The sequence below is a fragment of the Homo sapiens genome, chromosome 5 (genome assembly GCF_000001405.40).
Source record: "Homo sapiens chromosome 5, GRCh38.p14 Primary Assembly".
Classification (NCBI taxonomy): domain Eukaryota; kingdom Metazoa; phylum Chordata; class Mammalia; order Primates; family Hominidae; genus Homo; species Homo sapiens.
In genome coordinates, this window is record NC_000005.10 from 31,896,425 (window position 1) to 31,910,915 (window position 14,491).

General features: G+C 43.8%; 1 protein-coding gene and 1 pseudogene across 6 annotated transcripts in view; both read left to right on the plus strand.

Moving 5' to 3' along the window:
* Positions 1–14,491, plus strand: part of PDZD2 (PDZ domain containing 2) — a 471,802-nt gene that overhangs the window by 257,294 nt on the left and 200,017 nt on the right. The window lies entirely within an intron of this gene.
* On the plus strand, positions 11,937–12,759 carry TPT1P5 (TPT1 pseudogene 5; annotated as a pseudogene).

A 14,491-nucleotide genomic window follows, 5' to 3' on the forward strand; every position in this document is an offset into this window, starting at 1 on the left:
GGCTCACCCACCTCAGCAATGTTTTAAACCTTGGACTTTACCCAGCTCCTTTCCCCAGATAGAATTCATCCGCTCAGAAAAAGTTTAGTGAACTGCTGCTATGTGCCAAGCCCTGTGCTAAGGGCTGGATATTAAATCCAGAGAGACTGTTAAACAGGTTAAAGTTCTGTTTCTCAAACAAGGGTTTCTGAGTCTTTAGAGATACATACGAATTTTTAAAATTGTGTGTGTTACAATAATCTTATTTTACTGGCTGAGTGCTATGGCTCATGGCTGTAATCACAGCACTTCACCAGAGGCCAAGGTGGGAATATTGCTTGAGTTCAGGAGTTCGAGACCAGCTCTGGCAACATAGACCCAGTCTCTACAAAAAAATTTAAAAATTAGCCAGGCATGGTGCCATGCACCTGTGGTTCCAGCTACTTGGGAGGCTGAGGTGGGAGGATTGCTTGAGCCTGGGAGGTCAAGGCTGCAGTGAGCCATGATTGTGCCATTGCACTCCAGCCTAGGTGACAGACTCTGTCTCAAAAACCAGTTACAAAGAAAACTTCTTTTATAGCAATACTTTACAGCTGAAAGCGCAATAAAATCATTTTATTTTCTTAAATGTTACTCAAATGAGATCTCTGGATGTAGGGTGGGGATCTGGTGAGTTTTTTTTTTTCTTTAAAATGTGTCTATACATCACTCGTGAAAAATAAAAGGTTAAACTATTTTTTTTCCTGCTGCAGAAACATATTTATATTTAAAAATACTTTTTGAATTAGCACCTAAATCAGTGAACTAACTCAAATCTTGAAATTTAGGGCACCAGGAGTATGTCAGGCTGATGGGGAAGATATTCCTGAGAAAGTAAACCTCGAGTATCTCTTACCACAGTGTGAAAATTGTGTTCTGCTCCTAGAGTCTGTGGACAGCCTGGACTGGTTTTCATCTTCTCTGTGGAACTTAACTAGCCAGCCAGTATGATCCCTTTGTCCTCTCAGCCCTCAGAGTGTTGTACACACCTCTGTTATTCCCTGTGTTGTCTGATGTTCAAATATAAGTCGCAAGTGATGTGTGTTCGGAAGAATCACTGGCCGAAGTTGCACTTGAGATCCCAGTTGTCACTGGAGTTGAATCTCTCTGTCCCCCAGCATCACTGAGTGCTTCCTATTGATGTGAAAATATTCTCTTTTTCTGGGGATAGGGCAGAAAAAGAAGTAGCATGCAGAAAGTTTCCAACAACCAACAAATCAGTCTAGTTAAGTACAGAAGAGACGCATATGAAACATGAAACATGCAGATGATATAAGGTCTCATTTTGTTTGACTGTTGGCTTTTTTTTTTTGAGACGGAGTCTGTCTCTGTTGTCCAGGCTGGGGTGCAGTGGTGAAATCTCAGCTCACTGCAACCTCTACCTCCCAGGTTCAAGCAATTCTCCTGCCTCAGCCTCCTGAGTAGCTGGGATTACAGGTGCCTGCCATCACATCTGGCTAATTTTTTTGTATTTTTATTTTTTGGCTGGGTTTCACCGTGTTGGCCAGCCTGGTCTCAAAACTCCTGACCTCAGGTGATCTGACCACCTTGGCCTCCCAAAGTGCTGGGATTACAGGCATGAGCCACCGCACCCAGCCAGTTTTGTGTATCTTTTCTCTCCCCGTCTAGAGGGTGGACACTCATCATTTGTCTCCTCCCTGGAGCCAACTATATTACAGGCATTTTGTTTAGTGATGAACTCATATGAATTATACCAAAAGTACAGAGTATGGTCGGATCCAGAGCTGGCTTGCTTCAAATCTGTTAGACCATTCTTGCCTCTGTAGGATTATCTGCTTCTACCACTTTATCAGGTAACTGCACATAATAAATGGCCAGTGATAAAAGTGGATATACAGCTGTAAAGCTAGGCTTCAGGACATTAGGAAGGAGCACTGGTAGATTAGGCTCCTCCAGCCAGTTGCCAGGGACGGACAAAGGACAAGAGATGGCTTAAATAAAATGCTGACACGCCCAGGGCACTCCTGTTGCAGCTGTTGAGTGAAAGTGAGTGCTTCAGGGATTTGGTGCAGAAAGCTTTTCTGACAGCTGCTCTACTGCCTTTTCCTTTGAAGGCAGCTTCCCACCTTCCACCCCTGATTGTCTGTAAGCTCTGGACTGGCTGTCCTTAGAGGCGCAGTACCACTGGTGTGCGTTGTTTGGTGTGAACTGTGCTCCCCTGTCACATGGCAAAGTGATGCTTGCACATAGTGTGTGGATGCTGAGAGCTTCCTGAGCCAACCCTTTTCCAGCCAAACCTTTCCTAGCTCTGGGGGGCAGTTTCCTTCAAATATGTGGGAACTCACCAGACAGGTCATCCAGGACGGCTTTGGGATCCTTCTTAAGGATAGATGGAGCCTCTCTTCTTTTTTTTTTTTTTTTTTGTTTTTTTTCTTTGTTTGTTTGAGACGGAGTCTCGCTCTGTCACCCAGGCTGGAGTGCAGTGGCGATCTCGGCTCACTGCAAGCTCCACCTCCTGGGTACACGCCATTCTCCTGCCTCAGCCTCCCGAGTAGCTGGGACTATAGGCGCCCGCCACCACCCCCAGCTATTTTTTTTGTATTTTAGTATAGACGGGGTTTCACCATGTTAGCCAGGATGGTTTCAATCTCCTGACCTCATGATCTGCCTGCCTCGGCCTCCCAAAGTGCTGGGATTACAGGTGTGAACCACCGCGCCTGGCCTCTTTGTTTGTTTGTTTTGAGATGGAGTTTTGCTCTGTCGCCCAGGCTGGAGCGCAGTGGCATGATCCTGGCATGATCACAGCAACATCCGCCTCCTGGGTTCAAGTGATTCTCCTACCTCAGCCTCCCACATAGCTGGGATTACAGGCACGTGTTACCATGCCCAGCTAGTTTTTTTGTATTTTTAGTAGAGATGGGGTTTCACCATGTTGACCAGGCTGGTCTCGAACGCCTGACCGCAAGTGATCCGCCCACCTCATCCTCCCAAACTGCTGGGATTACAGGCATGAGCCAGTGCGCCGGGCTGGAGCCTCTCTTTTCACAAGGGAAAGCTCTGGACTTCTAGCATTGTCCTGGAAGGTGAGCTTCCTGCTGACAGCACAGTCTCAGTATTGGCACCTTCTGTCTTCTGTGATTTGGCTTCAAGGATGTGGTGTCCCATCACAGCTCTACCATGTGTGTTAGCTGTGTGGCCTTGGATGAGTTACTTATTTTCACTGAATGTGTTTACTATGATCGAATGTTTATGTGCCCCCTAATTCATATGTTGAAATCCTAACCCTCAAGGTGGTGGTATTGGGAAGTGGGGCCTTTTGGGAGCTGATTAGGTCATCAAATCATCATCAAATTAGAGCCCTCATGAATGGGATTAGTGCCTTCATAAAAGAGGCCCAAGAGAGCTCATTTGCCCCTTCTACCATGTAAGGACGCAGTCAGAAGACACCATCTGTGAACCAGAAAGTGACTGTTGACACTCAACCCGCCGGGGCCTTGATCTTGGGCTTGCCAGCCTCCAGAATAAATTTCTGTTATTTATAAGCCACCTAGTTTATAGTGTTACGGCAGCTTGAACAGACTAAGGTGTTTTTCTGTCAATTGAGAAGAATAACACTGAGATTTGTTGCCGGACTAGAATGGAAGAATGCATATAGAGGCGCTGACATAATGCCTGGCAGGTGGCACACAGCAAATGACGTAGTGAACGGTGTCACCAGGATTTTGAGAATGGCAGAGGGTGAGCATTGGGGTGGATGGTGGTGTATCCTCACATGTATCCCCTCTGGTTCCTTCTCTCAGTTGGAGATTCCAGGGAGGTGTAGGTAGCGCTGTGTACCAGCTTTCCGTAGTCCTGGGGTTGTGTCAGGCAGTCAAGAAACACTTGTAAATAGATGTGATCTTGGCTGAATCTGTTAATGGATTTGCTGACTGTTATCCTTACTATATAGAAAGCTATTTACATGTAGACCAAATTGTGAAGAGCTCACTGTTGATGGCTGATGAAAGTCAGCCAGCCTTCCTTACCTGAAGGGGATAGGGGAGGGACTTCGGGCCTGGAACAAGGATCAGCTCCAGGCTGCCCGAGGCTAGGTTTTCTTAAGAAGGGAAAAGGGGTCATGTCAAAGGCTCCTGCAGGATCTGGCCAGTCCTTCCCACACTCTGCTTGGGTCCTGTTGTTGAGCATCTGTCTGCCTTGACCTGAGGAAGCAAGGCCCTGCCGAGAGGCAATGAGCCTGGGGACCATAATTAGGTGATTTCATGTAAAATGCTCTTCAGTTATTTCTTGGGAGGCTGAAGATAGAAAAATATGCGAGCCTCCAGAAGTCCTGAAGCCATCTCTAGATTATCACCCCGAGGAACAGCTAGTTTTCCTTCCTTGAATTTTTGTTTATCTGTGTAATAGACTTGCTTGTTAGTTGTTGCCAGGCCCCAAGGTTTCTGTGGGTGTGTGTGATGAGGAGGAGGAAAACCCCATCGAAAATGCTTAAAGGATTTTGCTGATAAATTTTCTACTAAAAGTGAGTTTCCTAAATCTTCCCGGACAAATACTTACAACTCATTAAGAAATAACTTAATTTTTCTGGTTTTCTCTGAACACTAGTGTGTTGCCAGTTTAGAAAAGGGGAAGGGGAGTTGGAGGCAAGAGCTGACCTTTCTAAGAACTTTCTATTATACTTGCCAAGCATTTTAAATACACATTTAGGCTAACAGCTATAAAAACAGGTGACTTTGGCCGGGCATGGTGGCTCATGCCTGTAATCCCAGCACTTTGGGAGGCTGAGGCGGGCAGTTCACTTAAGGTCAGGAGTTTGAGACCAGCGTGAACAACATGGTGAAACTCCATCTCTACTAAAAATACAAAAATTAGCCAGGCGTGGTGGCATGTGCCTGTAATCCCACCTACCCAGGAGGCTGAGGCGCAAGAATCGCTTAAACCTGGGAGGTGGAGGTTGCAGTGAGCCAAGATCATGCCACTGCACTCCAGCCTGGGTGACAGAGCGAGACTGTCTCAAAAAAAAAAAAAAAGAAGAAGAAAGGTGACTTTAAGTTAGCTTTTGTGAATCTTGATTGTTGTCTGTTTCAAATTGGAGAAATGAATACTTCCCCTCAAACAATTTTCAGTACCTTTGTGAGGGGACATACACTGCTGGGGAGTCCACACACTTACATCTGTCCTCCTAGGAGGTTTTTTTAAAAAACGGTTTTATTGAGATTACATTATTACACATTTAATGCATTTAAAATTTACAATAAATAGTTTTTAAGTAAATTCAAGCAGATCTGTAGACATCACATTATCTACTTTTAGAACATTTTAATCACCCCTAAAAGAAACCCTCCATCCATTAGCAGTCACTCCTCACTTCCCCTACAAACTCCTCAGCCCCTGTCAACCACTCTTTGATTTGCTATCTCTATAAATTTCCTTTTCTGGACACTTCATGTAAATGAAATCTATGTGGTCTTTTGTGACTGGCTTCTTTCACTTAGCACATTTTCAGTGTTCATACACATGTGACATCTGTCACTACTTTGTTTCTTTTTATCACCAAATGGTAGTCCAATGTTATCTATTCACCAGGTGATCGATATTGGGGTTGTTTTCACATTTTGGCTATCGTAAATAATACTGCTACGAACATTCATGTACGAGATTTGTGTGGACATAATGTTTTCGTTTCTCATGGGTATATACCTAAGAGTGGAATTGCTGGGTCATATGGTAATTCCATGTTTAACATTTTGAAGAACTGCTAAACTTTTCCAACGTTACTGCACAATTTTACATTCCTACCAACAATGCATGAGGGTTTCAGTTTCTGTACATCCTCACCAACACTTGTTGTTATGTCCTTTTAAAAAATTATAGCCAATCTAGTGTGTATAAAGTGGTATCTCACTGTGGTTTTGGTTTGCGTTTCCCTGATGACTAATGATGTTGCACATCTTTTCCTGGGTTTGTTGTCCATTTTTGTATATCTTCTTTGGAGAAACATCTATTCAGATCTTTAGCCTGTTACTCAGTTGGATTGTCTGCTTATTATTGAATTGTTAAAGGGTTTGATTTGGATACTTTTTTTTCTTTTTTTTTTTTTCAGACAGATTCTCATTCTGTCGCCCAGGCTGGAAGGCAGGGGTGCAATTTCAGCTCACTGCAACCTCCTCCTCCCAGGTTTGAGCAATTCTCCAGCCTCAGCCTCCCGAGTAGCTGGGATTACAGGCATGCACCACCATGCCTGCTAATTTTTGTATTTTTAGTACATGGCCAACATGGTGAAACCCCGTCTCTACTAAAAAAAATAAATACAAAAATTAGCCGGGTGCAGTGGCACGTGCCTGTAATCCCAGCTACTCGGGAGGCTGACATAGGAGAATCGCTTGAACCTAGGAGGCGGAGGTTGCAGTGAGCCAGATCACGCCACTGCACTCCAGCCTGGATGACAGTGAGACTCCATCTCAAACAAACAAACAAAAACTTAAAATTTTATTAAGGGCTTTATTTCTTTGCATGTCAATTTCTCATTGTTCCAGCACCATTTATGAAAAAGATGGAAAGAAATGTTCTGCAAATAATATATATGATAAGGGATTTGCATGCAGGAGGGAAAAAAAAAAGTCCTACAACTTGAAAGTAAAAATTACATTTTGGGAGGCGGAGGTGGGTGGATCACCTGAGGTCAGGAGTTCGAGACCAGCCTGACCAACATGGTGAAACCCTGTCTTTCCTATATACAAAAAATTAGCCGGGCGTGGTACTGCATGCCTGTAATCCCGTCTACTTGGGAGGCTGAGGCGGGAAAATCGCTTGAACCCGGGAGGCAGAGGTTCCAGTGAGCTGAGATCACACCACTGCACTCCAGCCTGGGCAACAAAGTGAGACTCCATCTCAAAAAAAAATAAAATTAAAATTAAAATAAAAAAATATTATTATGTAATCTAGGGGTAGAAAGAATAGGAAAGGTCGGGCATGGTGGCTGACACCTATAATCCAAACACTTTGGGAGGCCATGGTGGGAAGATTGCTTGAGCCCAGGAGTTTGAGACCGACCTGGGCAACATAGTGAGACCCTGTCTCTACTAAAAATACAAAAAATTAGCTGGGCAGGGTGGCACATGCCTGTAGCCCCAGCTACCCAGGAAGCTGAGATGGGAGAATCACCTGAGCCTGAGAGATGATGCAGTGAGCCAAGATCACGCCACTGTACTCTAGCCTGTGCAATAAGAGTGAGACCCTGTCTCAAAAAAAAAAAAAAAAAAAGAAAGAAAAAAGAAAAAGAAAGGAAAAGTCATTGTAAATTAGTGAAAAACATTTTTTGTTTTTGTTTTTTTCTTTTTGAGACGGAATTTTGTTTTTGTTGCCCAGGCTGGAGTGTAATGGCGTGATCTCTGCTTACTGCAACCTCTGCCTCCTGGGTTCACGCAATTCTTCTGCCTCAGCCTCCCGAGTAGCTGGGATTACAGGTGCCCGCCACCATGCGCAGGAAATTTTTGTATTTTTAGTAGAGACGGGGTTTCACGGTGTTGGTCAGGCTGGTCTCTAACTCCTGACCTCAGGTGATCTGCCTGTCTCAGCCTCCCAAAGTGCCAAAGTGCTGGGATTACAGGCATGAGCCATTGCACCCAGCCACTTTTTTTTTTTTTTTTTAGTATTTTAAAGCAGTGTATTTCTTTCAACTGTATGTGTTTCAATTAGCCAAAATACAAACAAAACCAAACCAGCAAAATAACCAATAAGTCTTTATCATGAGATTTATTCAACATTAAGTTATGCCACTTCTTATAAGCTCAATTAATAAGAACTTACTACATCTACAAATTACAAGTTGCTGAAGGTTAACATAGTGAAATCAGCCACAAATGTTAAAAATCAAGGAAAAGTTTATTTAGTCAACAGTCATTCAATAAACAAACATTTAATGAGCACTTGCTGTGGGCGAGGCTGGTCATGGATGAAGCCAAGAAAATAGATCTCTTATCTTCCCAGGGCCTTTTAAATGAACCAGTATTTATAAACATTCCAATACATTGCCTGAGAAAACAATTAATATTGCTATTATCATAACTTAGATGCTGAGATGTGAAAACTTGAGTCACTGGAAATCAATACTTGTTAATATGTCTTTTATTTATTTATTTTTTTGAGACAGAGTCTCGCTCTGTCGCGCAGGCTGGAGTGCAGTGGCACGATCTCGGCTCACTGCAAGCTCCGCCTCCTGGGTTCACACCATTCTCCTCCCTCAGCCTCCCAAGTAGCTGGGACTACAGGCGCCCACCACCACACCCAGCTAATTTTTTTGTATTTTTAGTAGGGATTACAGGCATGAGCCACTGCGCCCGGCCAATATGTCTTTTTTAAAAATTAGTAGTGATGGTGAATATTATTGGAAAGGTACAGATACAGAATTCTGGGCGCAATTACATCGAATAAGGCTGAGGTTATAATTAAGCATTAGGAAAAAAGCAGCACATCTAAATGTTGCTGCTTGTGTTTCAAATTCGCCTATAAAATTATGCAAGTGAGTCTACTTTTACCAGAGGGAGTGAATTTGTGTGTGTGTGTGTTTTGTTCTTTTGCTTTTTGGAGACAGAGTCTTGCTCTGTCACCCAGGCCGGAGTGCAGTGGCCCGATCTTAGCCCACTGCAACCTCCGTCTCCTGGGTTCAAGCAATTCTCCTACCTCAGCCTCTGGAGTAGCTGGGATTACAGGCACTCACCACCACGCCCGGCTAATTTTTTGTATTTTTTTTTCTTTCTTAGTAGAGAGGAGGTTTCACCATGTTGGCCAGGCTGGTCTCAAACTCCTGGCCTCAGGTGATCCACCGCCCTCCTCAGCCTCCCAAAGTGCTGGGATTACAGGCGTGAGCCACCGCACTTGGCCAAATTTGTGTTTTGATCAGTGTCCCTTTCTTCTTTTTTAGTGGTTGAAGCAATGCATAGCAAACCTTTCTACTGCCTTGCAGGTGTTCTAGTTTAAGCTGAAGTGGTTTGATAGTCTCTTTTTCCCCTTCTCTACCTGCAACCTGAGGATGCTGGGGTTGCTTTTCTTCCTCTTCTAAGCCAGTTAGTGTAATCTTCCTCCGTGTTCTTGGCCTGCATTTTTCCCCTCTGGGGTGGAGTTCAGTTTACCACTGGAAGATGTTCACATTTTCCAACCCAGCAGACCCCTGGTCAAACATTAAATATAGCTTCATGCTAGCTCTGTGTATCTTCTTGGTCAGGAAAGTATTTTCTCACTACAGAGTTAACCTTCCCGCTAAGAACTTCCCAGAGTAAGAGTGGATTTATTCAGGTATTGGGTACCTTCTGAGGATATGGATTTCTGTCAACACTGATTTATAACTTTTCATTTTGAAAGGCTTGAAACAACCCATTCAGAGCCTGGAGGCCATGGCTCATGTGCTAGAAGCTGATAACTTTTGTTATTGGACTTTGGACGGGTAGGGAGTTTGCTTATTGTTATCATCTTTCCTTGGTAGAGTGCACTTACACATCACTATTTTATATCAGCTCCCCTCCCCCATTCTTGCCTAACTTCAGTGGTGGTTCTTGGTTTTTAAGTGTGTGTATGTGTTGCTAAGAGTGAAATTGAGGTTATTTTATTTTTATTTATTTTTATTTTTATTATTATTTTTTTGAGACAGAGTCTCGCTCTGTTGCCCAGGCTGGAGTGCAGTGGCACCGTCTCGGCTTACTACAAGCTCTGCCTCCCGGGTTCATGTCATTCTCCCGCCTCAGCCTCCCGAGTAGCTGGGACTACAGGTGCGTGCCACCACACCTGGCCTGAAATTGAAGTAATTTTAACTGAGATACCACACAAGTAAAATATACTTCATGTTACCGATGTCCAAATGTTCGCTGATTTTGTTGTTGTTGTTGTTGTTGTTTTTGAGATGGGGTCTCACCCTGTTGCAGAGGCTGGAGTGCAGTGGTAACCCTGACCTCCCCAGGCTCAGGTGATCCTCCCACCTCAGTTTTTGTATTTTTGGTAGAGACGGGGTTTCGCCATGTTACCCAGACTAGTCTTGAACTCCTGGGCTCAAGCAATCAGCCCGTCTCAGCCTCCCATAGTGTGAGGATTACAGGTGTCAGCCACCATGCGCGGCCTTAGTTTGGTTTTTATCAATGATGTAGGAAATCTATTAAGAGACTATTTATAGCCGGGTGCAGTGGCTCACCCCTGTAATCCTCACACTTTGGGAAGCTGAGGCGGGCAGATCATCTGAGGTCAGGAGTTCCAGACCTGCCTGGCCAACATGGTGAAACCCCGTCTCTACTAAAAATACAAAAATTAGCCGGGCATGGTGGCACGTGCCTGTAGTCCCAGCTGGTTGGGAGGATAAGGCAGGAGAATAGCTTGAACCCAGCAGGCGGAAGTTCCAGTGGGCCAAAAGTGTGCCACTGCACTCCAGCCTGGGCAACAGAGCAAGACTCTGTCTCAAAAAAAAGAAAAAACAAAAGAGACTACTTACAATATCTAGAATAGAATATTTGAACATATTTTCCACCTTTGGATGGGCTCATATCCAATAAGAATTAGATTAAAGCTTATGTCTAAACTTTGAAAGTTGTATTATCCATCTAATTCTGGGTAGAATGCTTGGTTAGCCCAAGCTGATAATTGAGAACTGAGAAAAAGATCAACACAAAGGGATTTGTCTTGTTATAGTGGATGATTGTTTTGTTGACAGTTTGGTTATGATGACTTCTTAATGTTTTAAGTGGCCATACTCCTTACCTGTCTTTGTGCAGGGTGCCATGATAAAATACTGCATGGCTGAAATGATAGACATTTATTTTCTCACAGTTCTGGAGGCTGGAAAGACGAAAGTACCAGCAGCATGGTTGGTTTCTGGTGAGGGCTCTCTTCCTGGGTTGTAGATGGCTGTCTTCTCACTGTGTCTTCACATGGCAGGGAAAGCAAGGAAGCAAGCTGTCTGGCATCTCTTCTTATAAGGGTACTAATCCCTTCATGGGGTCCCTTCCTTGACCTCACTGAAACCTAATTACCTCCCGAAGCCCTTATCACATTGGGGATTAGGGCTCTAACATGTGTATTTTGAGAGGGGACACAGTTCATAGTATTAGTCATAAATGACATAAAAGCTCTGGTTAATACACCCATCTGGGTTATTGTGCCTTTCCTTCAAGAGACCCACTAATAGCTACATGTAGTGGATTATCAGGCTGAATTCATCCATCTATTTCCCATGAAATACAGATGAGAGAGGACACTGTGAAATACAATATTTTATATGTTTAATGTTTCATGCCTTATGAAGAAAGTCTTGCTATTTTAGTTGGATTTTATTCCTTAATCCCCACCCCCCACTCCCAGTTACGTGAAGGCATAAGAAAAGGATCTCCCAATTAAATGAAGGCATAAGAAAAGGATCAGGTGGCTGGGCCCGGTGGCTTATGCCTGTAATCCCAGCACTGTGGGAGGCTGAGGCGGGCAGATTACGAAGTCAGGAGTTCGAGACCAGCCTGGCCAATATGGTGAAACCCCGTCTTTACTAAAAATACAAAAATTAGCCAGGCATGGTGGTGGATGCCTGTAATCCCAGCTACTCAGGAGGCCGAGGCAGGAGAATTGCTTGAACCCGGGAGGCGGAGGCTTCAGTGAGCCGAGATCCTGCCATTGCACTCTAGCCTGGGTGACAGAGCCAGGCTCCGTCTCAAAAAAAAAAAAAAAAAAAAAAAAAAGAAAGAAAAGGATCAGGTAGTAAATAGAATCGAATAACATCTTTATCCATGTTGGAGATTTTATGTATATTTAAAATGCACAAAGATAGTCTACATTTCCCTCTATTTTCTTTTATTTTTGGTTTGATCCTTTTTTTGTTTGAAATTTAAGCAAGGCCCCGCCCCCGCTCCCCATGAGCGCAGCTCCAAGCTCCGGGCTCCTAGAAGGCAGCGCCACTGGTCGTCTCCCTTTAGCTGCCATCGGCCGCCATCATGATTATCTACTGGGACCTTGTCAGCCATGATCAGGTGTGTTCACGAGATCCGGGAGATCTCAGACTGGCTGTGCGTGGAAGTGGAGGCGAAGATGGTCTGTAGGAGAGAGGGTAACACTGATGACTCGCTCATTGGTGGAAATGCCTCCGCTGAAGGCCCCGAGGGCGAGGGCACGGAAAGCACAGTAATGGCTGGTGTTGATACTGTCATGAACCATCACTTTCAGGAAACTAGCTTCACCAGAGAAGCCTACAAGAAATACATCAAAGGTTACGTGATATCAAAGACAAACTTGAAGAACAGAGACCAGAAAGAGTAAAACCTTTTATGACAGGGGCTGCAGAGCCCCTTGCAATCATGTCAAGCACATCCTTAGTAATTTCAAAAACGACCAGTTCTGGCCGGGCGTGGTGGCTCACGCCTATAATCCCAGCACTTTGGGAGGCTGAGGCGGGAGGATCACTTGAGCTCAGGAGTTTGAGACCAGCCTTGGCAACATAGTGAGACCCTGTCCCTACCAAAAATACAGAAAATTAGCTGGCTGTGGTTGGTGCACACCTGTAATCCCAGCTACTTGGGAGGCTGAGGTGGGAGAATTGCTGAACCCGGGAGGCGGAGGCTGCAATGAGCTGAGATTACTGCACTCCAGCCTGGGTAACAGAGCAAGACTCTGTCTCAAAACAAACAAAAAGCTACCAGTTCTTTCTGTATTGGGGAAACCATGAATCCAGGTGGCATGGTTGCTTTACTGGACTACTGGAAGGATGGTGTGACTCCATATGTGATTTTCTTTGAGGATGATTTAGAAATGGGAAAATGTTAACAAATTTGGCAGTTGCTTTGGATGTATCACCTGTCATCGTAACTGACTGCAGCTTGTCATCCACACAACAACAGGACTTAAGAAAATGGGAATGATGTCATCTTGAGCTCTTCATTTATTTCGACCATGCTTTATTTGGAATGGAGGCATTGTTTTAAGAAAAGCACGTCATGTAGTTTGTCTAAAAATAAAATGCATTTAAACTCAACAAATCTAAGCAAAAGAGATCATAAGGGCATTAATTTGGGGAGCAGGGACATGTGGTTAAGATGCTTTTTGATAACAGTTTGAATTTTCTACGCTGATTAAAAAAAGAGAAGAACATTTTCTTTTACCGCATACAGTAGAATATAAACCCCATACATAATAAACAAGAGCTACAAAAAGGTTTTTGGCCAACATTAATATACACGAAATACTATATTTAGTATACTAAAAGGATAACAATTCAGTTTACTACTAATAATACAGTGATATACATGAAATAGTCATGTATAGCTCTAATATTCACATATATAATTAAAATCACATTTAAAATTTAAATGACATTAATTTTGAATATTCCTTTTCCCACTCATATAGTTTATGAAGCAAATTTATTCAAATAATCAGAGCCAAATTTTGAGTCAGCTGAGTCAGTTTTAAGGGTGTATTGCGTTCCATCTTTATTATTTGAAAGACTGTAATATTTATATTCATGTACGGTGCTGTCACTGGACATTTTATCCAAGACCACAAGTATTCATATAACCCTGCCACAGTTCCTCCATACCTTCATCCCTTCATCCTATAATTGAAAATAGCTTACGTTTATGGATGCGTTTACTACGTGCCAAATACTGTCATCGGTGCCTTACATGTATTAACTCGTTTATGCAGAGAAATCTGTGAGATTGATACCTTATCTCACTTTATTCAGGGAACTAAGGTTCAGAAAGGTCAAATAACTTACCTATGCGCTCAAAGTCACATAGTTCATGAAAGGCAGAGTCAAGATTCAAACCCAGCTGTGGAGCTCCAGAGTTCCTGCATTTTTTTTTTTTTTTTTTTGGAGACTTAGTCTTGCTCTGTCGCCCAGGCTGGAGTACAATGGTGTGACCTGGCCTCACTGCAACCTCTGCCTCCTAGGTTCAAGCGATTCTCATGACTCAGCCTCCCAAGCATCTGGGATTACAGATGCCCCACCACCATGCCTGGCTAATTTTTATTTTTTCTTTTCCTTTCTTTTTTTTTTTTTTGAGACAGAGTCTCACTCTGTCAACTGGGCTGGAGTGCAGTTGCGCAAATTCCGCCTCCTGGGTTCAAGCGATTCTCTTGCCTCAGCCTCCTGAGTAACTGGGATTACAGGCACTCACCACTACCCCAAACTAATTTTTTTGTATTTTTAGTAGAGATGGGGTTTCACCATGTTGGCCAGGCTAGTCTCGGACTCCTGACCTCGTGATTCACCCACCTCGGCCTCCCAAAGTGTTGGGATTACAAGCATGAGCTACCACACCCAGCCTTTTTTTTTTTGTATTTTTAGTAGAGACAGGGTTTCACCATGTTGGCCAGGCTGGTCTCGAACTCCTGACCTCAAGCTATCCATCTGCCTCAGGCTCCCAAAGTGCCGGGATTACAGGCATGAGCCACCACGCCCAGCCAGTTCCTGCTTTTAACCGCCATGCTACTCTGCTACAAGAAAATATAGCACTTAAAATGGTGAGATTATCTCCCCTAGGCATAATTT